This window comes from Homo sapiens, chromosome 10 (assembly GCF_000001405.40).
Source record: "Homo sapiens chromosome 10, GRCh38.p14 Primary Assembly".
NCBI classification, from domain to species: Eukaryota; Metazoa; Chordata; class Mammalia; order Primates; family Hominidae; genus Homo; species Homo sapiens.
The window spans coordinates 119402942-119428982 of NC_000010.11; the positions used below are offsets into that span (position 1 = coordinate 119402942).

The 26041-nt window shown below is 51.8% G+C and overlaps 1 protein-coding gene across 1 annotated transcript in view, besides 1 other annotated feature; it reads left to right on the forward strand.

Moving 5' to 3' along the window:
- The window catches only part of GRK5 (G protein-coupled receptor kinase 5), a 252175-nt gene that overhangs the window by 195371 nt on the left and 30763 nt on the right, over positions 1–26041 (forward strand). The window contains exons 5-6 of the mRNA NM_005308.3: positions 20225–20325; positions 22052–22144. Of these exons, the coding sequence (NP_005299.1) occupies positions 20225–20325; positions 22052–22144 (194 nt within the window). The remainder of the gene's footprint in view (positions 1–20224; positions 20326–22051; positions 22145–26041) is intronic.
- Positions 2167–2667: an enhancer, noted in NCBI's record as "H3K4me1 hESC enhancer chr10:121164620-121165120 (GRCh37/hg19 assembly coordinates)". NCBI's record gives its function as "activates a minimal SCP1, AML or CMV promoter by ChIP-STARR-seq in primed H9 embryonic stem cells {active_cell/tissue: H9 hESC(primed)}" and the evidence as "EXISTENCE:reporter gene assay evidence [ECO:0000049][PMID:30033119]".

Sequence of the window (26041 nt, forward strand, 5' to 3'; positions counted from 1 at the left end):
TACAATTCTATGGTTTTAAAAAGATTCAAAATCTTATAACCATCACTGCTTTCTGATTCCAGGGCATTTTATCACCCCAAGAAGAAACTGTTGTACCTGTTAGCAGTCACTCCCTGTTCCCCTTTCCTCCCAGGCCCTGACAGCCACTAATCTACTTTCTGTCTCCAGGCCTATTTCAGACATTTCATATAAATGGAATATCATATAATATGTGGCCATCTGTGACTGGCTTCTTTTTTTTTTGAGACGGAGTCTCGCTCTGTCCCCCAGGCTGGAGTGCAGTGGTGTGATCTCGGCTCACTGCAAGCTCCGCCTCCCGGGTTCACGCCATTCTCCTGCCTCAGCCTCCCGAGTAGCTGGGACTACAGGTGCCTGCCACCACGCCCTGCTAATTTTTGTATTTTTAGTAGAGACGGGGTTTCACCGTGTTAGCCAGGATGGTCTCGATCTCCTGACCTCGTGATCCACCCGCCTCAGCCTCCCAAAGTGCTAGGATTACAGACGTGAGCCACCGCACCAGCCGACTGGTTTCTTTTGTAGCATAATGTTTTTAAGATTCATCCACATTGTAACATGTATCAGCACTTCACTCCTTTTTATGGCTGAATGATATTCCATTGTAAAGATACAACACATTTATTTAGTTATCTGCTCATCATTTGATGGACACTTGTGTTATTTCTACCTTTTTGTTGTTGTTGTTGTTGTTGAGATGGAGTTTCGCTCTTGTTGCCCAGGCTGGAGTACAATGGCGGGATCTCGGCTCACTGTAACCTCCACCCCCCGGGTTCAAGTGATCCTCCTGCCACCGCCTCCCAAGTAGCTGGGATTACAGATGCCCATCACCATGCCTGGCTAATTTTTGTATTGTTATTAGAGATGGGGTTTTCGCCACTTTGGCCAGGCTGGTCTCGAACTCCTGGCCTCAAGTGATCCACCCTCCTTAGTTTTCCAAAGTGCTGGGATTACAGGCACGAGCCACCGTGTCCAACCTGCTTCTATTTTTTGTTTCTACATTTTTGCTCTTGTGGAATAATAATGCTGTGAAAATGCAGGTACAAGTTTTTGTGTAGACATGTTTCATTGGGGTATATACATAGGAGTAGAATTGCTGGGTCATGTGGTAACTCTATGTTTAAACTTTTGAGGAACTGCTGGGCTGTTCTTCAAAGCACTGTACCATTTTAAATTCCCACCAGCAGGGTTCCAGTTTTGCCAAAACCTCATCAACACTTGCTATTTTCTGTGTTTTTTATTTTATCCATCTTAGTGGGTGTGAAGTGGTGTCTTGATGTGATTCTGATTCATACTTCCCTAATAATTAATAATGTTGAACACCCTTTCTTGTGCTTTTTGGCCACTTGTGTAACTTCTGTGGGAAATGTCTATTCAGATTCTTTGTTCATTTTTGAATTGGGTTGTTTGTCTTTAATGTCAAGTCATAAGAGTTCTTCATATGTTCAGGATACAAGGTCCTTATCAGTATATGACTTACACATATTTTCTCCCATTCTGTGGGTTGTCTTTTCACTTTCTTGATAGCGTCCTTTGAATCACAAAGGTTTTTCGTTTTGATGACATTCAGCCTTCATTTTTGTTACTTGTTTTTAAATAACTTGTTTTCATTTTGTCTTACCTGTCCTTGTAAGAAGGCCTCAGTTTTTGAAGGGAAAGGGTGTGTATGGAAACAAAGTAAAGAAATCCTAATGTACATTTAGCCCCATGACCCGGTCTTCCTTTGAAGAACGAGAGCCCCACTGCCTGTTGGAAAGATCAGGGCCAGGGGGCCAGGCCTGGTCCTTCATGGACATTCAGCCCCTTATCCCCTGGTTGACATGACAACATCCCAGGGGCTTTGAGCCCTTCCATTCCTAGGACTGCACGGGCCTCTTACAGACTTGCTCCTGGAACTTCCTGGCAGCTCCCCAAGATGGGTATTAGTGTACCCATTTTACAGATCAGGTAACTGAGATTTGGGAAGAGAAGAGGCTGGTCCAGAATGGGGAAGCGCCTGCGTGACCTGCTTTGGCAGTGTTACTTGTAGGACATTTTGCTGCGGCTCATTTTAATTGGGCCGGTGAGCAACAGTGCTGATCTCCATGGTTGCAGTGCCCCACCGCAATTACTAAGGTCTGGCAAGGGGGGTGCCAGTTTTGATGTGGCTTTGTTAGGGACTATCAGTGGATTCTAGGGGAAGCTCAAACCCAGTCCTGGTCCTGCTGAAAGGGCCTGCGTGGGTTCTTCCCGGACAAGGGGGTGGACAGGTGGGTTGGGGCAGGCTTCTGGGGAACTGGTATGGCGTCCTTCTGTGGGGTACTGGGAAGGCCGTTGTGCAGGCAGCTCTTAGAGCGCATTTCTTGCCAAAGGTCTGCAGGCAGGATATTGTTCTCTGGGCCCTCCATAGATGCAGGGCTGCCTCTTTGTTTCAATAAACAATGATAGGGTAAGACAGGGAAGTTGGTTCTTGTGAAGGGGGAAGTTACCCATCAGCCTGTTTCCACACAAACGAAATCTATTCGTAGTGCTTGTTGGGCTCTCTGGAAAACATCCACATTTTATAAAGTCAAGAGCTTGAATGAAAGGAAATAATAACGACTCCAAATTCCCTCCTCTGGCTCCCCACCCCCACCCAGGCACCAGCGTCAGGAAGCCGAACAAACCCACGCAGGCTGGGCCACGGCTCCTCGGCCTCTGGCACAGGCAGTCAGCTTCATCCTTGTCCCCAGGACCTCATGCAACCCCAGTCCTGCCACTTTCCAGCTCTGCATCCTTGGAGCCTCAGTTTCCCCAACTGAGTATGGGGCTGATAAAAATGGCGCCTACCTGTGCTTGTGGCCATCAGTCATTCTCTAGCACTTGCGTGGTTTTGGCCATGTTTGCAGACTACCCTTAACAGTTACCTATACAACGATTTTCTTTAAATCAACTTATCTTTTAACTTAAAATAGATGCGTTTTAAAAGGAAACCTTGTACCAGGAACATGCCTGGAGAACCAGTATTGATTTGTCATACATAAAGGTAACTGGAAAAATTAAGATTAAATCCAAGCTAGATACTCTATTGTCTGCCTGAGGTTCTGAGCCTGAAGGCTTTGTCCTTGTCATTTTAAAGGAGATTAGTGAATGTGAGAGCCCTGATGACAGGACGGTAGCACTGCCTGCGACTTTCTACTTCATGATGGAAGGCTTGCAGGAGATCCAAAGAGAATCACTTTTTCACCGAGTGATTCAATATTATCTAATTGTGTCCCTGTACTTCCTAAGACCTCTCATCATCTTTAGAAGATGCTGGGCTAACTCTCTGCTTCCTAGCTATGATGCGTTATGGAAATGGAAATGCTGGCTTGTTTTTGTTAGAGACAGCATGACCTAGGGCAAAGAGCACTGGACTGGGAGTCAGGCTCATTCCTGATCTCCCTTCCTGGGGTCCATGGCCCTGGTCCTGCTTAGAGTCTGCCTGATCATCCAACCAATTCATGATCTCCAGGGCAACCAAGGGTGTGAAATATGGGAAGCTTGGGCAAATGGCTCCCTTCCAAGTACCTGTCCCATTCTCCCTGGGGCTTGGGGTCCCAGACACTGGCCCTGGACCCGGCTCTTCATCTCTACTGAGATTGCCCGGCCCTCATTTCCCAGTCCCCGGAACAGGTCATCCTGTTGTCAATTAATCTAGTGAGCTCAGACTCCACCTTCACTTGAGCAGAGGGTCTGGCTGGGCAGCTGCCCCTGCTGGGCCATCTACCAGCATTTCCAGCTTCCTGTCACAGCCTTGCGTACAGGCTGGAGGGCGGAAGAGGATTGAAAAGAAAACTTGAGAAAGGGACTTCCAGGAGTTTTCTCAAGCAACAGTAGTGAGGGACAGGGGTTGGGCCTCTTCCACTTCCACTTCTGGGAGCAGCAGAGAGAGGAATTCACAAATCAAGCCACATGTGTGCTCATGAGCTGTCTTGGGACAGCTAGCATTTATTGAGCTACTACTGTAGCCTAGAACTTCATATTCCATGTTTTGCTAAGTCCTCATCACAGCCATATAAAATAACAAGAAGTGGAGGCTCACTCAGGATGGGCGCCCAGGGAAATCTCAGGGGCTGCCCAGTTCTGGGCCCCGCACGCAGTTTTATCTGCAGATTCCCAGCGTGCAAACAGATAAAAAGATCTGTGGTTGACAAAGCTGGGGGCTGGACTTCTCTTTTTCCTCCCTTCCGCTTCCCCTTCCCCTTCCCCAGGCTCTGACTTTGAGGAGAACATTTAGGGTTCTGTGGATCCCAGTTTAAGCACCATGGAGCTGAGCTAAACTCCTCATTTCCTAGATAAAGAAACTGAGGCCCCGAGAGGCCCAGCTTGGAAGAGGAGACTGGAATCTTCCTTGTGGGGCTTTCTATAACTCTGTGCTAGAAACAAGGAGAGGAGGCCTCAAAAGGGATGCTTACTGACTTGGTTTTCCTTCTCCCACTGGGGATGGCCGGCAGCTGGGTTTCAATTCCTCTGAGGTGCTTTTTCTTTAAGCCAGTAAGTGTCTAAATGCTGAGACATTCGTAATGTCTGTGCAAAGCAGAGAAGTTGGCTGTTGCCGGAAGTTCTACTAGTTAAGCACTAAGTCATTAACTCTCTGGGTTTTAGTGGAAGAGGTGAGAGAAAATAGCATTAATTTAGCACCTACTGTATGCGACATGCTTTATAGCTTTAGTGCATTCTATCTTCATGACTATCCTATGTAGTAGACACTATTGTCCTTGTTTTACCCAGGCAGTCAGAGTTCTTTAGCTCATAATGGTAAAACAGGGGAATTGAAAACAGGGAGGCTGGGCATGGTGGCTCATGCCTGTAATCTCAACACTTTGGGAGGCCAAGGCAGGAGGATTACTTGAGGCCAGGAGTTTGAGACCTACCTGGGCAACACAGCGAGACCCCCATCTCTACAAAGAAAAGAAAACTTGGGGGGCTGGGTGTGGTGGCTCACGCCTGTAATTCCAGCACTTTGGGAGGCCAAGGCGGGCAAATCAGCTGAGGTCGGGAGTTCAAGACCAGCCTGACCAACATGGAGAAACCCCATCTCTATTAAAAATACGAAATTAACCGGGCGTGGTGGTGGATGCCTGTATTCCCAGCTACTCGGGAGGGTGAAGCAGGAGAATCGCTCGAACCCAGGAGGCAGAGGTTGTGGTGAGCCCAGATTGCATCATTGCACTCCAGCCTAGGCAACAAGAGTGAAACTCCATCTCAAAAAAAAAAAAAAAAAAAAAAATTAATTAGGTGGGTATGGTGGCGCATGCCTGTAGTCCTTGCTACACAGGAAGCTGAGGTGGGAGAATCACCTGAGCTCTGGAGTTCAAGGCTGCAGTGTGAGCTATGATTGCACCACTGCTCTCTATCCTGGGTGACAGAGCAAAACCCTGTCTCAAAAAAAAAAAAAAAAAAAAAAGGCAGAAAACACAGATGCAAACAGATACTAGTGTGCAAATATTTATAGCAGCATTATCACAATGGCCAAAAAATGGCAACAACCAAAGTATCCATCAACGGATGAATGGATAAGCAAAAGTGGTCTATCACTACACTGCAGTGTTCAACCATATAAAGGAATGAAGCGCTAATACATGCCCCAATGTGGATGAACCTTGAAAACATTATGTGAACTGAAAGAAGCCAGACATAAAAGGCCACATATTGTGTGATTCCATTTCTATGAGGTATCTAGAATAGACAAATCCATAGAGGCAGAAAGTAAGTTAGCATCTACCAGGGGGCACGTGGGAGGGAGGGAGTAGGGAGTTGCTGCTTAACAGGTACAGAGTGTCTGTTGGGATGATAAATATTTTTGGAACAAGATAGAGGTGATGGTTGCCATGATGAACGTAATGAATGCCACTGAATTGTACACTTTAAAATGGTTGAAATGGTGAAGTTTATGCTATGTCTATTTTACCACAATGAAAGAAAAAGAGCAAGAAAAGAGTGGAATGTAAGCTGGCCTGTCCGATGCTGGAGCCTGTGATCTTTCTCTTCCTCTGCGTTGTCTTCTTGAAAGTTAACCAAAGACAAAAGTTCCCACTGAATCAGCTTCCCAGGTGTAGCAGGGGGCAAGCAGCAAGGCCGGGGAATGAGCAAGCCCCGGAGGCGGTGTCGGGCTGACGTCCAGAGGCTGTGCATGCCAGCGCCCTCCGGGGCCCAGCCCAGCTCCTGACCCCCAACCTGGGCCTCGGCTTCCACTCTGCGCTGTGTCCTTAGCATCTTCTCACGTCACAGTCTCCTGCGCGGCATATTTCATGACTGTGTAATTGTCCTTCAAATAGACACACCCCACCCCTCACCAACCTTTCCTGGAAAACAAATTGTCTTTGCCCACAGCCTGATTTCATCTTGGCGCCTCCTGACGCCCTTGAGGCTGATGTGCCTTGCTGGAGCTCCTCACAGTGGGCCAGGGCAGGCCCATCTAGGTCCTTTTTCCTTTCTCATGACCATCCAGGTCAGAAAATTGGAGGTTCCTTTGATGCTGGCAGAGCTGGCTCTGCCTCTGACCCTGTCCTTAATGTGTGTGCATAGTGTTTCCTGTCCAGAATGCCTCTCTTTTGGAGTGGCGGCAGACAGAAGACTCAGCCACAGGCTTCCTGAGGGCACCCCCAACTCTGTCCTGGGTGGCAGTGATCCTGGTCCCTGTGGCTTGGCAGGCCCTCCCCATCCGTGGACCTTGGGCAGAGAAGTGGCATCACGTGGCTGAGGTGAGGGGCAGGTTCTCTTGAATTTCCTGGCTCGTAGGAGATTCCTGCCCCCTGCCCCCCAACCCCTTTATTTTGCAGCCCGAAGGGATGAAGTCTTCACTGGAGAAAAATCCAACATGATTTCGGATTGAGGAGGGTGGTGGGTGTTCTGGAAGAAGGAAAGTTGGCGGGCCCTGCCCTCGCCTATCACGCACAAAGAATGAGGGACACTCCCCACCGTTTCCCCACCGTGAACATCCCCAGCACCTCAGGGCCTGGGCTCCATGTGTCAGTGACCTGCATGTGGTTGCATTGGCCTGAGCGGAGCTGGCTGCATGCAAACCACTGGCCAGGAAGAATCCCACTCCTGCTGCTGCTCCTGCAGCTGCGCCGGGTCCCGCGAGCCCCCGCGTGCGCGGCCTGTGTAAACAGTGCGTCATCTCCTGTTGCACACTTTGGGCCTGCGGGTCACGACCAGGGATTATCAAATTGACAGAGCTCAGCTGGCCTCTCACTCCACGTCCGGGCACATTGCATTTTGTTAATTATCGTCTTTTGCTTTTGACGTAAAGGGTCGGGGTCTGGGTCAGGGTCACTGTGTATTTTCCTTTCCTTCTCATTAAAGTTGCCCAGCTCTCAGGGCCCCCAGTTAAATTCTGCCAGCGTTTAAAGATATCTTCCCTCGCTTCCCGACCCCTAAGCGCACTTCTTCCTTATTTCTGTGAAGCCACTGGAATAGCAAAGGAAATGTGGGTCAGGGTCTTTCAAACCCAGTCCATTTTATTTTTCTTGAAGGGCTGCAGCTATTTCTGAAGGGCTGGGTTTTTCTACTTTGTTGGCCCAGAGAACATGACACGCTGGGTCTCAGGCTGACCAGGTCAGCAGGGCACTGTGAAGGGGCTGGAACCACCCCCGACGCTTTGCAGCCCCAAGGCAAGGCTTGCTCCCAGCACTTCCCAGCCACACGGCCCTCACTTGGTTGCTCATAGCCCTGAGCCTGCTGTCTGCCTGTGATCCTCAGTGCAACCCTACCATCTGAAAGGGGTCTAGAAAAGTGTCAGTTCTGCCATTAGGAAAAGTGAATTCATCCAGAGCTCTAGTCTTGGAAGAGTTCCTAGCGCACAAATGGCATGAGCTGGAGGATAGAAGGGTCCTCCCTATTGCCTGGCTAAACCCCCTTTACCCTTTGGGCCATGATCAAACCTCTCCACAGCCGTGGAGCCACCTGTGTCTAAAGAGGCCACCTCTGTGAGCGCTCTCTCCTAGGTGCTGAGGGGCTGTGACCTGCACTCTACAGCCTGCAGTCCTTGCTGACCTTGAACTCCTGCCATTGGCCAACAGAGTTGGTCTCTGGGGTCCTTAGGGTGGACCTCATGGCCTGGGCACAGAATGGGCACTCAGGGAACCCGTATGGCTGATGGACCCCAGCTGAAGAAGCTTTCCGACTGGTCACTGGAGCAGTGGCCCCACCTCCACCTCTGCTCACAAAGACAGCTCCCATGCCTTGAAGTCTCTTCCTGGCCTGGTGGAAAACCCAGCTACCCTCATGGTCACCACCAAAGAGGTACAAGAGATCCTCAGCCAAAGAATTAAGGAGGTTGCAAGAGTGGTGGTGTGTGTCTGCACCATGATGGAGTCACAGGCCTTTCGTGGATGCTGGTTACTTCTGAACACTGTGTCATGGTGTCACTCCCACTTTCTCCTCCGCCAGACACACAAGACTCCAGAGAGCCCAGAGACCCCTTAGACTCTAGGTCTTTGGACTGTTCACCAAGGAAAGATAAAAATGGCAGACTGGATGCCATCTTCCTAAAGGCATCATGGCCTCTGGAAGGGCCCTGGAGAGGCCCCTTTGAGAGTTGGAGACAAGGGAAGATCCAGAGTTTCTTTGAGGGGGGACTGAAGCTTAAATAACTTGCTGAGCATGCTTTTTAAGAAAAAGAATAGGAGGTTAGGTACAAAAGTGAATATTGAGAAGGAGAAAAGAAATCACAACAAATTACTGAGGGCTTGGAGATTCATATCCTTTTCATCTGTGACCTCAATTTCCCGGAAGTGCTTCTGTAGAAATGCTCTGTCTCCCAAGATAGAGCATTCTGTAGCTCCCAGGACTACAAATAAAGGACTACTCCGTCTCAATTAACAAACAAACAAACAAAACCCTAAAGCTTCGGCCTCCTCAGCTTCATTGCAGATCTGCTTCTTTTTTTTTTTTTTTTTTTTTTTTTTGAGATAGAGTCTTGCTCTGTCGCCCAGTCTGGGGTCCAGTGGTGCGATCTCGGCTCACAGCAACCTCCACCTCCTGGAGTCAAGCAATCCTCTCGCCTCAGCCTCCTGCATAGCTGGGACTATAGGCATACACCACCACGCCTGGCTAATTTTTGTATTTTTAGTAGAGACGGGGTTTCATCATGTTGGCCAGGCTGGTCTCGAACTCCTGACCTCAGGTGATCCACCTCCCTCGGCCTCCCAAAGTGCTGGGATTCCAGGCGTGAGCCACTGCGCCCGGCCTCAGATCCGCTTCTGATTGGAGGCTGTGCCCACCTTCATGGGAAACGGTGAGCATCACCTTCCTTTGAACTCAAAAGAGGCACAGTGAGAGCCTTCCAGCCTCGATCACAAGGACCTCTACCCACAGGCTGCCGGTCCGGTGTGTCTCTGCCTGGCAGGGCTGTGCCTGGCACGGTGCCCGGGCCGTGCAGTCCATCGCCTGGGCTGACCACGAGGACACCCCGGTGAAGAGCTGGGCGTGCTTGGGCCGAGGGCTGCTGGATGTTGGCATCAGGCCCAGGGTGGAGGGAGGGACAGGCCACGAGCCCGCACAGCTCGTGAGCGTGTGGCCGGACTGATTTATTTTTCTCCCCAGTGACCCCGAAAACCAAACCCTGCCTTCTTTCCTTTGGTCTGTTCTTGTCTGGGGCTTGTGGATCACGTCTCCTGCCTGGCCATGGACAGAGAAAGGAACCACTCCAGACGGACGTGAGGGTGTGTGGCAGTGGCTTTTCCACATGGCCCTGAAGGTTTTGATTAAAAAGGTGGAAGAATGGTGCTTTTTCTTCCTGTCAGCCAGGCCTTAAATCAACCCTCAAGTGAGGAAATGCTCTCTGCGCCTGCTGCTCAGCAAACCTTTTTCTCTGGTTGTGACCGTATGAGCATGTTTAATTGCAAGCCAGGGTTTAGGGTTGGAACAGCCCCCATTCGCCCCACCACCCTCTGCTTTCCCCACCCCAGACCCCGTCGCTGCAGCTGGGTGAGCAGGGCTGAGTGAGCTCAGGGAATCGGAGCTCGGCGAGACGAGGGGAGCTCTTGGCCGTGTGAAGAGCACTTGGAGGCCTCCTGCTCACCTGGCCTAAGCCCCTGATTTTACAGATGGTGAATTCGTCTGGATTCTTGGCAGCAAGTGGCAGATACTTTCCTCCCAGTTGCTCAAACAAAGAGGGAATTTACTGCAGAGATGAGGAGGAGGGCGTTCTCTCCTATGGTCAAATGAAACCATGAGACCGACACGGCGGTACCTAGGCTGGGAACCCCCGAACCAGGGCACTTCTCCCCCACCCAGCAACCCTATCCTACAGTTTCTTCCTGAGATGGCCACGGCCCCTCCATCTGGTTTTAATTAAGAAAATTCCTTAGCACTGTGATTGGCCCAGCATGTTACAAAGGCAGGAGGCAGAGCAGATGACCCCATAAAGGACCTTCTGGTGGACAGACCTGCTATTCTCTATCTCCTTCTTTCCTGCTGTGAACGTTCACACTCATGCACACAGGCGCGTGCACACACACACACACTTATCCAACAAGCATATTGAGCACCTACTATGTGCCAGGAACATCATCAGTTCATTCAGCAAAGCAGAGTGGAGAGATTGCAGGGTTTGGAACTGGGCAGGCCTGGATTTGCGTCTCAGGTCTGCTACTTGCTAAGCGTTCCGTCTGCGGGCATTTGCGGAACCCTCACAGCACACCTGGTGCCGTGCTGCATTCCATCCTGATAAGCAGGAATGAGACCACATTCCTCCTTTCACAGAGCTCTCTAGGGCTCTGTTTCCACATCTGTGACCCCGGAACAGTAAGCCCCCACCTCACAGTGTTGTTCTGGAGAGCAACAGGAGTAAAAATTTATGAGAAAACCCACATCAAGGCCCAGCACAACGCCTGCCTCTCTCAGGGGCCGTGACTGTTAGGCCGGCCCGTCCCTCAGGCGCCCACAGCAGCCTCCAGCCCTGGCTCCTGCTAAAGACCCGACTCCCACCCCTGCCCCCGCCCAGGCCAGGCTTCCCGTAGCTGACGCAGATCCCCTCGAGGAGGGTCAAGGGGCGGCCAGGGTATGGTTGTGGGAGTGCCCCTCCTCTGTTCCCGCCCCGGAGGAGAAATGAGGGTGGCCTCCCAAGAAATGACCTCCACCCCATGACAGCAGAACAGGGCAGCCCCCTTGTGTGGAAGGAAGGGGACCCCTGGGAGCCCCTTTCTTCCAGAGAGTCTCTCTCTCCTGCTCAGCCTTCCTGAAAGCTGAGCCTGTCCACGTTGGGAAATTGCAAATAGTTTACATGGGGAATGTCAGCTGCCCACATATGAAAATATACACATCATTAAGCCCTAAGTGCTTGCGTCTGGAGATAGAGTGGACAGTCTCCCGGGCCGACCTTTTGTCCACTGACGGAACCATGGCTAATGAGCGCGGAGCTCCTCAGTGGGATGTTTTCCTCTACTGAAGTGAAGCATATGTTGGACGTTAGCGTGTGTGTGTGTGTGAGAGAGAGAGACACATGACAGCACTATACAAACACCATTGGTCAAAACACACAGAGTCCACCGCACCTCCTTATCCAGCCCCCATGGGCCTCCAGGGAGGGCTTGTTCCTCAACACCACATCCTCCTGCACACTGTCTAGGAAGGAATGTGGCATCCTTGGAGTACATGCTGGTGCTCAGGGATAAGGTTCTCTGGCCAGATTCCCTAGGTTTGAATCCTGTCTTTGCTCCCAGGCCAACTATGTGCCCTTGAGCAAGTTACTTAACTTCTGAGCCTATTTCTGCGCCTGTGAAGTGAGGACAGTAAGAATAATAAAACCTATCTTAAGAAGATCAAACAAGGTTACTCCACATAAAGCTCCTAGGACCTGGCATATCATAAGTGGGTGCTCAAGAAAAGGCAATGATGGCCGGGTGTGGTGACGCATACCTGTAATCCCAGCACTTTGGGAGGCTGAGGCAGGTGGATCACTTGAGGCCAGGAGTTTGAGACCAGCCTGGCCAACATGGTGAAACACCGTCTCTACTAAAAATACAAAAATTAGTCAGGTGTTGTGGGGCGTGCCTGTAATCCCAGCTACTCAGAAGGCTGAGGCATGAGAATAACTTGAACCTGGGAGGTGGAGCTTGCAGTGAGCCAAGATTGTGCCACTGCACTCCAGCCTGGGTGACAGAGTGAGACTCTGTCTCAAAAAAAAAAAAAAAAAAAAAAGAAAAAGAAAAAAGAAATGGCAGTGATGGCAGTGATGATGAGAATGATCGTAGCAGCCTTCTCCAGGAGGTGAGGCTGGAAGAACGGTCCTGCCTGCTGGGAGGATCATCTTAGATGTGGTTATGTCAGAAGCAGGTCCTAAAGAACTGGGTGGGGTTTGGACATGCCATGAAGGGGTGGGAAGGAACGAAGGGACCAAGCAAAGGTCCAGTAGCCAGAAAGCTGGAGCTCGCCCAGGAAACAGCCAGTGTGGGGCCAGAGCACTGGAGAGCAGGGGAAGAAAAGGGGAAGCAGGTCGGGCAGGGTGTTGGGGGCCAGGTCTAAGAAGCCACTAGACTTGGTCCTATAGGCATTGGGGGCCGCTGATGCTGTGTGGTGCAGAAAAACTCCTTTGGGGACCATTGTGTCAAATGAAAGAGCAAAGAGTAGCAGAGACCTGTGAGGAGCCTCCTCAATAGTCCAAACAAGAGAAGAGAATTCTCCAAACCAGGGTAGTCAGCTGGGGATGGAGAGGAGGCAGTGGGTGGCAGAGACGCCACGGCTGAGATTGCTAGATGTGAGTGTTCCCAGCTGTGAAATGGGGGCCAGCTGGTTTTGACTGGGGCCAAGGAGGCCAAAGCCATGTCCTTCCTAGAGGGCTGGCTCAGGATACCTGGTTAAGGGCTTATACCACTCAGATCCATGCCTCCCAGTCAGAGGTGCCAATCCTGGCCCCGCCATGGGCCAGCAAGTGACTTGCAGGGGACCCCTTCTCTCAGTTTCCCCATCTGTGCCATGAGTGGGTTGAAGGGCTGAGCCCTGAGGGGTCTTTCCTGGAGGGTCCTCTGATCTCCACCTCCTCCGCCGTCTCACTCCTGAATCTCTGAACGAGTATCAGGCCTGTGTTTCTGGACAGTTCCCAGGGTGACGCGGGGCAAAGGATTATCGGTGGCTCTGGGGAGGCCTCTGGGTGTAGCTCTGAGTTGATTTCATGGTCTTTCAGTCCCGCTTCATCCCTGGGTGCCTCCAAGGGCACCAGCCAAGTACAACTGATTCCATCTCCACCCTGACACTTGAAACAAGGGATGTTAATACAGGGAGATGCTTTGGGAACCAGAGCCTCAAACATCTGGAGTTTCGCACTGATGCAGGAAATGATGTCCCTTCCTCACGTCAGTCATTCATGGTGCAGAGGCAGGGAGCAGTGCCGGGAGAGCAGGTGCAGCCGCCTTGGCGACGCCATCCTCGGGGCTGATAACTCAGCCACTGATAGCTGCCCCAGGAGGGGGTCAGCCTCAAGCTACGGCAGCATTCCTGCCAGCCGTTCCTGCTTATTTCCCATGATCTTCACTAGTCCCTCTGACTCCGAACAGCATCTCCCTTTCTGTTCAGTGCTGACTCTGTCCTCCAGGCGCTGGCCCTGCAGTCCAGCTTCTCTCTCCTTCAAGGTCCAGGCCTGTATGACCTCTCTAGGGCTCCCTCTCGAATTGATCGCTCTCTCTCTCTCTTTTTTTTTTTTTTAATTTGAGACTGCTTCTCACTCTGTTGCCCAGGTTGGAGTGCAGTGGCTCAGTGATCTCGGCTCACTGCAACCTCCGCCTCCTGGGTTCAAGCGATTCTCGTGCCTCAGCCTCCTGAGTAGCTGGGACTACAGGCGCATGCCACCATGCCCAGCTAACTTTTGTATTTTTAGTAGAGATGGGGTTTCACCATGTTGGCCAGGCTGGACTCGAACTCCTGACCTCAAGTGATCCACACACCTCGGCCTGCCGAAGTGCTAGGATTACAGGCGTGAGCCACCGCACCTGGCTGAATTGATCCCCTTTTTCCCCTCAGTTGTTGTTGCAGAGGCCGTACTCCTCTGGTCTGAGATTATAGTCAGTTGGTAATTATTCCAGGTGTGCCCACCTGGCCTCCCAAGTCTTTGGGGACCAGAAGGCTGGCAGGCCGTTGGGGTGAAGGAGCATAGGGAAGCAATGGCACCACCTTGTGGACGGCCTGCTTCATGGGCCTTGGCTGAATGCGTGGAGGCAGAACTGGGGTTGGGCTGTCGCCTGCCCTTGTGCTTGGGTCCCTACCTCTGTAATGCCACTGAGGGTGGGTGTCTGAGCATCAGCCTCGGGTGTGGTGGGTGATCCACACGTGCTTCCCGGATTCAGTGCTGAGTGTGGTGCCCACTGGGGTGGCTTCATGCCCAGGCCTGGCCCCTGCCTTCCTCCTCAGCACCCCTCCTCCCCAGCCTGCCTCAGTGTCTGAAATACTCCAGATCATTCCTGCTTCAGGTTAAGCACAGATGGCGCCTGTGAAGCGGCAGTTGACCTGGGAGGGGTGCGGCAATGAGCATTTGCTGTACCAAGGGGTGCTGGGGGCAAGGGATTAGCCAGCAAGTCACCCCATTCACTCTAAACCCATTGCTGTACAAATGCAGCTTCAGGACAGGCCCCTAGTTCTTCTCTCCAACCACACTGCCACCCCAACAGTCTCATCATTGAAAATTCCAAGGCCTCCCGTGCATTGAATCGTTAGTGGTCAGCAATACATCATCCACACCATGCCTGAATATCCCAGAGGTTTCTGCTCTGATGGAACAGAAGATGAGAGAGGCGACCTACGCGGCATGATACGGTTTAGGGTCACAGCAGCAGAGGATGCATGAGATGAGGACAAAAAGGAGGGGAGAGGCTTAGAGAGGAGTGAAGGTGCGAAGTCACCCTAGGCGTACTTCATCCGTTTCGGTGGGGGGTCTGCCCTACTTATGTTCCAAGTGATGGGAAGAGCTTTTCTCCGTGCCCTGTGGTGCCCAGAAAAACATCCCAGGCAAGTTTCATCTCTTGCTACCTGAAGAGGTACATTCTGGTCATCACAGATATCAGGAACTGCCCGGATCCCCAGAACCAGTGGCATAGAGCAGAGAGCGAGTCTGGGCCATAGGGAAGAGGTGGTAAGAAGGAGTGAGTCATCGGGGGTCCCGAGGGGAGTTCCAAACCAGCACGAGCTCTGTCCGATCTGCCCGCTGGAATAGCAGGCAGCCTTGGCTCCCCTGGCCCAGTGCGGCCCCAGGTTCCTCCAGTGCAGGATTCAAGGTCAATTTCCCATCCCAAGAGAGAGGCAGGGCAGGTTCTTTTACCTCCAGGTGAAGGGGGCTTTTATACAGAAGAACCAGCTCACAGAGCAGGCAGAGTGCCCCCAGCTTCAAGGTTACCTCTGTCCCTCCCCAGCTTCAGGGGGGACCAGAAGGGGAGAGTCCTTCACCAAAGAAGTGGGTGGGGAGCTCAGCGCTGGGGAGTGATTGCCAGAGGGGTTCTCACAGCCCGCAGTTCCTCATGGCAGGCAAGGCCTTTCTCATCCAGCCAGAGGGGAGAGATGTCTCCTGCCAGCACCCCAGGCTACACAGCTGTGTCCCCAGGGCGTATCTTGGTGTCTTCAGCTGTCCCAGAGAGATGATTACAGAGCCCTGCTCAGGGATAGCTGGGTGTCACCCTGACTGTCATCAGAGTGGACTCTGGCAGGGCCAGGCTGAGGCTGACCACTGTGTAGCTTCAGCTGTGCAAGGCCACAAGGGGCAGGCATTCATGGCGGGGACTTCAAGCAGAGAAACTCCCCTGCTCCTTCCAGTTAACTTGATCCTTTCAAAGGAACCTTGGTGCCCAAATTCACTGTTGTGTTAAAGTCGAGGTCTGCAGCTAGAGCTGTTTAAGGAGACCACCTGGTGACCTGAGGGGGTCCCGGACCCCTGGGGCAATTTTACCAACGAGCACCACCAAGACCCCTTCCAACCTGGCTGCCTTCACCTCTGCAGGTATCTACAGGCCTTGAGGCCCTCACGCTTGGATTTCTGTATGGTTAGACATTCAAGGGGCATCTTTGATGGGGGAAGCGTGGCACCCCTGACCATCAGCTCCATCCCAGAGGGACATCCCTGCAGGAAGAGCTAGAGTGCTGCCCAGCCATAGCTCTCCTGACACTCCTGAGTCCTCAGTGGAGTGAGGGTAACATTTCTCTCCAGAACCCACCCGGCCTGTAGGGTTCCCCCCTCTCCCTTCTCCAGCCCACCGCCCACCAGCCAGGCATCTGAAACTGCATGGAATTCTCCTGCCTTGAAAGACCCAGTGGATGGATCCCGGTGCTGAGCTGAGGTTACTCAGAACCCCAGAGCCCTCTGAGCTTCTGGGTGCCTTGTTTCTTACACGGTGTATCCGATCTGACACGCAGCCAGCGGAGGGCCTTCTTAAAGAGTCTCTCTTTGTAAGTGACTTCCAGGGAAGGACCAGACATCCTCTGGTTCCATTGATGCAAATAATAAATGTCCGACTACAACTACTCGCTTCTTACCCTTCTGGCAGGTTTGGGCTTTAGTTTCAGACGCAATGGCCAGCAGCTTCTTATTCCCATCTTACTGGCAAAGGTGTCACTCCCTGGAGGCACTTGAAAGGGGGTTGGGTTGGAATTGTTTAATCTCTTCAAGTCGAGCCAGTGGTTATAAAGCCAGACATTATTACCCACTCATTAACTCCCTTGTTAGGGCTTTGCCCTTGGGCAGAGCTCCCCTGCCAGCCAATCCAAAGTATGAGAGTGGTGTGACTTCATGTACACAGTTGGGTCACCTCTAGACCCTGGACAATCCCCTTCTCCCATCTGCTGAGAAGGGAGTTCAGTTGGCTGTCCCTGCCTGCAGGTAGGAGGGTCAAATTCTGCTTTGCCCCTTATTCCGTCTTCTATAAAGCCTTTCCCAGATGACCCCAGCTCACAATGACCCCTCCCTTCTCTGAGCCGTGGGGCTCATTGTCTCGAGCTGCATCACTTGCCTCTGCTATGGGACCAAACAGCACCCTGGTCCTCATGCTGAGCTCTGCAGAGTACCGGGGGCTAGGGTCAGACCTTATGGGTCCTGAGGGGATAAGGTGAGAGTGGGGCACAGGTGGCCCAGACAGCCCACTCCCTCCAGCCAGATCTCACTCATTAGACACCCAACCTAGGTTCAAATCCCCTCTCAGGCACTTACTGGCTGAGTGACCCTGAGAAAATTGCTTAACCTTTCTGGACCTCGGTTTCCTCATCTGCAAAATGGACACTATAATAATAGCCACCTCAGGATATGATTCAGTGAATTAATGAAGCAATGTGTTTAGCCCAGGACCTAACTAGAGTTAGCCTTCAGTATATGTAAGCTATTGTTACCAATTAAGTTATTTTTATAGGTTTTAAATATTGGGTCTGTGGATAAATTTCATTTGGAGGAGAAAAGTTTGCTACTAAAACAAACAAACAAACAAAAAAAAAAAACAAGAAGAAAGAAGGTTTGAAAGCCATTGAATTTCAACCAACCCATTTTGTACATCACCATGTACAGTACAACCGAGAGGCATAAGAACTTTTCTGTTGGGATATTATACCTTATAATATATCATTTCTGTCTTACTGGAGAAAAAGTATTTTGAGGTCAAAACCACACTAGCTCCATCTCTTTTTTCTTTTTTTTCTTTTTCTTTCTTTTTTTTTTTTCTTTTTTCTTTTGAGACAGGGTCTCACCGTGTTGCCTAGGCTGTAGTGCAGTGGTGTGATCATGACTCACTGCAGCCTCGACCTCTTGGGTTCAAGGAATCCTCCCGCCTCAGCCTCCCAAGTAGCCGAGACTACAGGCAAGCCACCATGTTTGGCTAATTTCTTTTTTTATTTTTAGTAGAGATAGGCTGTCACTATGTTTCCCAGGCTGGTCTCAAACTCTTGGCCTCAAGCAATCCTCCTGCCTTGGCCTCCCAAAGTGCTGGCATTACAGGCATGAGCCACTGAGTCCTGCCTGGCTTCATCTTCATCTTTTAATTCTACCCCTGCCCAGCACCAGGCTGTGCCTGTGGTGGGTAAGGGTGGGTCCTTCCTAGGTGGAAACAAAGGCAGAACCCTGCAGAGTGCACACAGGTGGGCAACTCAGGTCCCCCTTCTGACCATTCTGTTTCTCCCCATGGCCCACCCTGCTGGCATCTCTATCTGGTCCTTGCTGACTCGCACCAGGCTCAAGGTCATATCCTGGCACAACACATTGTATCGTCTTGCTCACGAACAGACAACCAGCACCAGCTCCGTGCCAGGCCTTGGGCCCTCCTGGACTAAGGGTGCCAAGCCATCGGCTCTCTCCTTCCTGAAGCAGATTTGCCCAGGGCCTCGGGATTTGTGCTAATATTCAGTTGCTCTGAAGTAGCCTGGAGGTACTGGTTCCCAAGAGACTCAGCTGCCAGAATTTCCAAGAAAGTTCTCCAAGTCTTAGAGGCACAAGCCCCCAGTTGTCGACTCCCAAATCTCAAAGGACCCTTCAGGCATCTCTGGAGCAGCTCCTTCCTGTTTCAGAGGGTGAGACGGAGGCACAAAATGGCCAAGGTCAGAGGCCGGGCCAGAGCTCAGGCTCCTGGCTCTTGGCCTGGGGCTCCTCCCATGACATCGAGGATCTTTTCTGCAAAAGTTGTGACCCGTGCTCTGTGGGTTGCTCTTCTGTGTCTCCTGGGGCAGAGTGGGAAGGCAGGTGGGAGACAGCAGCCACTACCCAGGCTGCTGTTGGTAACTGGGAAATGTGCTCTGAGACTGCTGTTTGGTGGGAATGGCTTGGCCTGCACTTGGGTAAGTGGTGTTTACTGTCACAGCAGCTCGCATCCACACTGCAGGCTGCCCCCCAAGAAGCTGAAGCCTCTCAGGCCTGGCTCAGCTGGGAGACCCTGAGGGCAGGGGTGAGCCTGCAGAGAGGGCTGGACCTAGAAAAGAAATAAAGAAGGAAGGAAGGGATTTGGACATTCAGAACCGTGGGGAACAGAAAACAAGCCACTGATTCCATTCACCAAGGACAGGCCAGCTGCTGCCTCGGGCGTCCCCTCCACCCCCAGGGATTGACACCCCCGCCCAGAAACCATCCAGTGGACTCTTAGCAAATCAGCCCCATAGGGAAGAGGAGGCAAGGCTTTCAGATTTCAGCATCCTTTTGGGAGAGAGCTGTGTCCACACCCCATCTTTCTGAGTCCACTCCCAGCAATTTTCTCAATTATCTCTTTAATTTATTAAAAACCCATCTCAAAGCCCAGCTGGTGAGTCAGCCCCTGGGAACAGCTGGCAGAGGGTGAATGGTGGGAGGAGGGGAGGGGGTGGGTAAGGCCTGCCCTGGGTGGAGCTGCCTTCCAGATGCGGCCGCCACTCCTGGGTAGGACACAGCAACTCTCTGAAATGTCCTTTCAAATTTAAAATACTCAGGCCAGCAGCTTAACCTAGAAAGATAAAGAAACAACGGTGGTGACATTTATTACGTGCTTGCTACTACTGCCAGATCTGGGCCAAATGCCTTACCTGAAGCTTTTATTGATTTGCTCCAAGAGAAACTCCTATTCCTGATTGTCTTCCTGACAAGAGTGAGGCTGAGCAGTTAAGACCAAGGCCACAGCTGCGAGTCACAGATCTGGGATTCAAACCCAAGCCTGCAGCTCCGGGGCTATAGCTCCCCTCCCCTCCTCACCACCCTCCTCCCTCCTGAGCCTTCCTGTCCACCTTGGCCTGATCCAAACCCTTTCACACATGAACCTCGAGGCTGGGCAGGTGTTCATCTTCTCTTTTGCCCTCGGAGGAAAGAAGCCCAGCATGGCCAAGGGGCGTCACCAAGCCTGCTGGGGGCTCAGTGATGAGCTGGGTCACGCTGCACAGCCCCTTATGGTTGGGAGCATTTGCACACCTTGTCAGCTCTGACTACATGCCCAGGCCATGGGGACTGTCATTATCAATGTTTTGCAGATGAGGAATGAGGCTCAGAGAAGCCAAGTGACCTCCATGAGGTCACACAGCCTGTAAGTGACACAGTCAGAAGTCTCATCCTGAACCTAGGCTCATTCACCACCTTCCAGCTCAGCCACCTCCCCAAACCACCAGTGTCCAGGTAGCCCTGAGCCAGGTGCAGCCTGGAGGGGGCAGCAGGTCACACACTGGGGCACAGACGGGCTGCCAGATGTACCAGCACCTGGAGCGTGGCTGGTTCTTGGCCCAACACCTGTGGGCAAACCCGGCCGCACTGCTGCTGGCTCCTCACTGACCACCTCCCTTCCCTTCCTTCTTCCAGTCCCCTGTTTTCATAGCCCAAGTTGGCCAAGACCTGGTCTCCCAGACGGAGGAGAAGCTCCTACAGAAGCCGTGCAAAGAACTCTTTTCTGCCTGTGCACAGTAAGTGCCGTAGTCACCTGGCCTGTCCTCCCCGGGCTGCCCAGAGATGGGATGCCGCAGCTCTCCACCTGACCATACAGGGCACTGAGGCAGGTCTTCCATGCCTGACAGCTTCAGCCAAGTTATACCAACTGTTTGTATACTTCCCACGAAGAGAAAAAGATATCAAGGTGCCAAGTCCAAAGAAAACATCTGCTGCAAAGGGTATTGAAAGCAAGTGGCTCTCCAGGCTGTTGAGACAGAGGAATGTGCAAACATTTGACCCTGTCTGGGTGGTTTGGAAGTCTTTCCCAGGGTCCTCAACCCCCACCACTGCCACCAACCCGAGCCAGTGCTACTGATGCAGGGGGAGCTTCTCAGCCAAACCCCATCACCTTGTCTGCAGGTGGCACGTCTGCCGTGCAGGAGGTGACACAAGTCGATGGCCATGCTGCCAGCAGAGCACCAACTAAACCCCCACCCCATCCTGCACACACACACTCTGAAGGCATGAGCACTGAGGAGCACACACAAGTCACTTGCTGACACACGCAAGCACACACACACACACATACACACACACAGGCTCATGAAAGTTCTCCAAAGCCAGGTTACCCCACATAGTTGGATGATCTTAGGGGCTTTTTGTGTGCCCTTATTCAGCACCACAGACATCAATTGAGTACCTACTGTGTACCTGGCACTGTGCTGGGTGCTGGGGGATACCAAGGTGAACAAGAACCCAATCCTGGCTTTCATGGAGTTTTTACAAGAAAAACAGCAACCTGCATGCACTTTGAGGGGAGCTGGGAGGGCCGTCCTGGGACCAAGCAGTGGGTTAGGTGCTGGAGAGAGGCCCTGGTGGGCAGAGCAAGCTTGGTTGCTGCTCTCTTGGAGCTGCCCAGGAATCAGATCCAACAGTGGGTGGGGTCTTGGTTGGTGACTCTGACCCTGAGGGAATGGCCATCTTGGCTCCCAACGATGGCTTTCAGGTTTGGCAGGACACAGACTCTGACGTGCCCCACCTGCCATAGTCCCCTCCCTTCCCCAGGCTCCAAGTGCCTGTGCTAGATTACTCAGTGTGGCCACTTTCTAAAGGAAAGAAGCTGCCTGCAGACAGTTTCAGAACCTGCCCTGATGGCCTAAGACCCATAGAGATCCACAGCATCCCAGGGCTCGGCCTGGCACCTGGCCCACAGCAGGTGACCAGTGAATTCCAATGCATGCATAAAAAAACTCCCAGTGGCTTTGCTAGTCCAAGACCAGATCCAGAGCTGCGGTTCTGAGGGGCTGTGGCCCCACCCTTCCCCCAACCACCCACCACCCCTGATTCCCAGCCCCTCATTAAGTCTTCGTCTGTTCTCAGCTTAAGGTCACTTTTTAGAGAGACCCCTCTACCCTTCCAGTCCCCCCAAACTCATTCATGATGACATACCTCTGGGATCATTTATTTCATGTTTGCTATTCACTGTTTGTGTCCCACATACAATGCCAACCCCTTGCTCCCAGCTATATCCCAGGGCCTAGAACAGTGCCCAACACTTGGCAGGTACCCAACAAGTGTTGGCAGGACCAACCAATTTCATACAACCCTCAGTAGAATGGCAGGACCTCTGGCCAGACGTGCTGCATCTGCATGGGTTGAGAGGCCCTGTTTACTTGCATTTCCAAAGCTGGACACAGCTTTGCCCCCCTGCTTGAAGATCGGGATTATAAAATGTTCATCCTCTTGTTCCATCTGCACTAGGTCTGTCCACGAGTACCTGAGGGGAGAACCATTCCACGAATATCTGGACAGCATGTTTTTTGACCGCTTTCTCCAGTGGAAGTGGTTGGAAAGGTGAGTCCACCACACCCCATACAGATCAGGGAGGCAGAGGGTACACATTTTTCATCTGAGAATTCATATAAAAATCAGTTACCTCCCGTGGGCTCATGGTTAAAACAAAATTAACCCGACTCCCCCTGTTAATTAAGTTGTGTATTCTAGAAATGCTGTATGCTTATTCAAGCACACACACATACACACACACACACACACACACACACACAAACACACATTCACGCAAATGTAAACAGCATCTCGTTCTTACTTTTTTTACTTCACTGTCTTTGTCAGCAAATAAAGAGCTGCCATATTCCTTGGAATAGTTGCACATCCTTGATTTAATCCAGTGCCCTGTTGATGGATATTGAGTTGGTTCTCCATTTTTCTGTGTGGAGCCCTCCCTAAATAATAAATAGCTTTGTACATAAATCTTTAAGTACTTCTGCAAGTACATCCAGAGAAATTCCTAGCAGAGGAATTTCTGGGTCAGAAGGCACCTGATTTTAAACCGTGAGTGCTGTTAAGCTGCTGTCCAAAACAGCTGCCCCTGACCTCCAGTGCCACAGTGCCCGAGTGCCTGCTCCTCAGCTTCATCAATGCTGTTCTCGTCTTTTCCTATCCCGTGAGTGAGCAGGGCGCTTCCTTGTTGCTTATTTTCTTGTCTCTCTAATAATGGGGGAGACCAAGTGTCTTTTCTTGTGTGCTTGCTGTCTAATTCTCTTCAAAGTACTCGCCCATGCGTGGCTGTGACTTGGGCAGATGTGTCCCTCTGTGACAGATGAGGAAGCAGAACATAGGACCTGACTTAGCTTCCCAGCAAGCCAGCAGTGCTGCCGACGAGGCCCCGGCCCTGAGCCCCCAGCGCAGTGCTCTGCTACCTTCACTGGCCCAGGATTTGCAGAGCGGGGCGATGCCTGTGTAAAATCCATGCCGGGCCGAGCTGGTAGATGAGGGTGGGAGCCTCCCCTCCCACAGCCCAGAGTCCCTGTCCCCAGAGGCCTGGCATGCACAGCCATCTGGGGGCATCCAGTGAGAAAGGAGCCATCCACTGCTGCCTGCCAGCCCCACAGCTGGCTGTGTCCCCCGTAGACACTCAGGAAGCTGCAGGCCAGGAGCCCTTCTGAACCCCACTCACAGCCCTTCCCTGCCTGCTTCCAGAAATCCAGCAGAAAACCCTTGGCTCTGCGGCCATGGATGGGTGGTTTCTCTCCACCTGACTGGTGGGGATGACAGCGTGACCAGAGATAGTCTCCTTAGTGGCCGCTGTCCACCCTGCACAGGCACATCATGACTCCAGGAAAGCTTGAGAGGCAAAGGATTGGCCTAGACATCTACTGAGGGCACCAGAGCCCCCAGCCTGGGTCCGAGTCCCGCCTCTGCCTCTTCCCAAGGAGGGTCCTCAGAAAGGGTCACTCACGACTCTACACCTCAGTGTCCTCATTTGTAAAATGTGGATGATTGTGCCTGCATTGTGGGCTTGGGCTGAGGAGGAGATAAGATAAGCACAACACCTGCTGGAACAAGGCAGGTGTTCCGCAAAGCTCAGCCATTTGGCCACAGGAAGTAAACTGCTGAATGCAGTTGTTGCATCCATCACCACCATCATCACCATCACCACCATCATCAGCATCACTGCATCAATATCCCACCGCCATCATCAGCATCACCGCCATCATCAGTATCACCATCATCATCAGTATACCGCCATCAACAGCATCACCACCTTCATCAACATCACCACCATCATCAGCATCATCACCATCATCAGCATCACCACCATCATCAGTATCATTGCCATCAACAGCATCACTGCCATCAACAGCATCACCACCATCATCAGCATCACTGCTGTTATCAATATCCCACCACCATCAACAGCATCACTGCCATAAACAGCATCACCGCCATCAACATCACCACCATCAACAGCATCACAGCCATCAGCAGCATCACAGCCATCAGCAGCATCACCACCATCATCAATATCACTGCCATCATCACCATCATCAGCATCACCGCCATCATCAGCATCACTGCTATCATCAGTATCACTGCCATCATCAGCATCACTGCTGTTATCAATATCCCACCGCCATCATCAGCATCACCGCCATCATCAGTATCACCGCCATCAACAGCATCACTGCCTTCATCAACATCACCACCATCATCAGCATCATCACCATCATCAGCATCAACCACCATCTTCAGCATCATCGCCATCAACAGCATCACTGCCATCAACAGCATCACTGCCTTCATCAACATCACCACCATCATCAGCATCATCACCATCATCAGCATCACCACCATCATCAGCATCACTGCCATCAACAGCGTCACCACCATCAGCAGCATCACTGCCATCATCAGCATCACCGCCATCATCAGCATCACCACCATCATCAGCATCACCGCCATCATCAGCATCACAGCCATCAGCAGCATCACCGCCATCATCAGTATCACCACCATCCTCAGTATCACCGCCATCATCAGCATCACCACCATCATCAGCATCATCACCATCATCAGCATCACTGCCATCATCAGCATCACTGCTATCATCAGTATCACCTCCATCATCAGCATCACTGCTGTTATCAATATCCCAGTGCCATCAACAGCATCACCACCATCATTAGTATCACCACCATCGTCAACATCACTGCCATCATCAGTATTACCACCATCAGCGGCATCACCACCATCATCAGCATCACCACCATCAACAGCATCACCACCATCATCAGCATCACTGCCATCATCAGCATCACTGCTGTTATCAATATCCCACTGCCATCAACAGCATTACTGCTATCATCAGTATCATCGCCACCGTCAGCATCACTGCCATCATCAGCCTCACTGCCATCATCAGCCTCACTGCCATCATCAGCATCACCGCCATCAACAGCATCACTGCCATTAGTCCCACTTCACCAGGTCTGATACTGGGAGGCACAGCCAACTCTTGCTGGAGGATCAGTCCTGATTCTGCCAATTACAGGGCAGTCTAGTGGAGCTGTGTTCGCCATGCCCACGCCCGGTTCTGGAGCCCTGGGCTGTGCAACACACAACCCCAATCTGTGTCCACCTTCCCAGAGTGGCAGTGTGGGGTCAGGATACAGAGCATGGGCTGCCTAGACCCCAACTCCAGCCCACCGCTACCAGCTAGGGCCTCGGGCAACTCATTTCACCTCTTGAAGCCTCAGCGTTCTCATCTGCAGAATGGGGACAATAATGATCCCTGCTCCCTGAGCTTGTGTGAGGATTATAGAAGCCCCCATGTGTGCTTGGAGCAGTAGGTATTGTTACTATAGAGACCCCCAGAGGGGGGCATGCCCTTTATTCCTAGGAGTTCAAATAATGACATCTGACACATCACCAGTTTACAAAGAGCCCTCCACTGGATGTAAGGCCTTCTCATGATCATTTTCCTCAGAGGAGTTGGAGCAGCCTTGGGCCACTCAGCAAGGGCCTGGCAAGGCTGGAACCTGAACCCAGAGGCCCCCTCCCAAGTCCTTGGGCCTTGGTCCACCCAGCACTCCAGTTCCCATAGCAGCCTTTGTCGGTGGTCACTGGCTTTCCTTTTTCTTATCTGCACCAAACACATGAAATGGAGAAATTATCCTTTTTACTCTGTGGCCTGATTGCAAAGAAGGCATTAAGTTTTTGGAGCCTGTAGGGCAGGACCCTGGCCTAGGAATGCCCTACATATCAGATAGCACCCTGCACAAGATCCTGCCTGGTTGGTGCTGTACTGCTGAAATAGTCAAGGGTTTTTTTCCTCCCAAGGTTAACCAAGAAATTCCTGGGAGCTTGCATTCCACTCATTTCCCCCAGCAGAGGAGTTCTGCGGAGATGTCAACCAACCGTTTCTCCTCCATGCATCGTAAACTGTTAGGC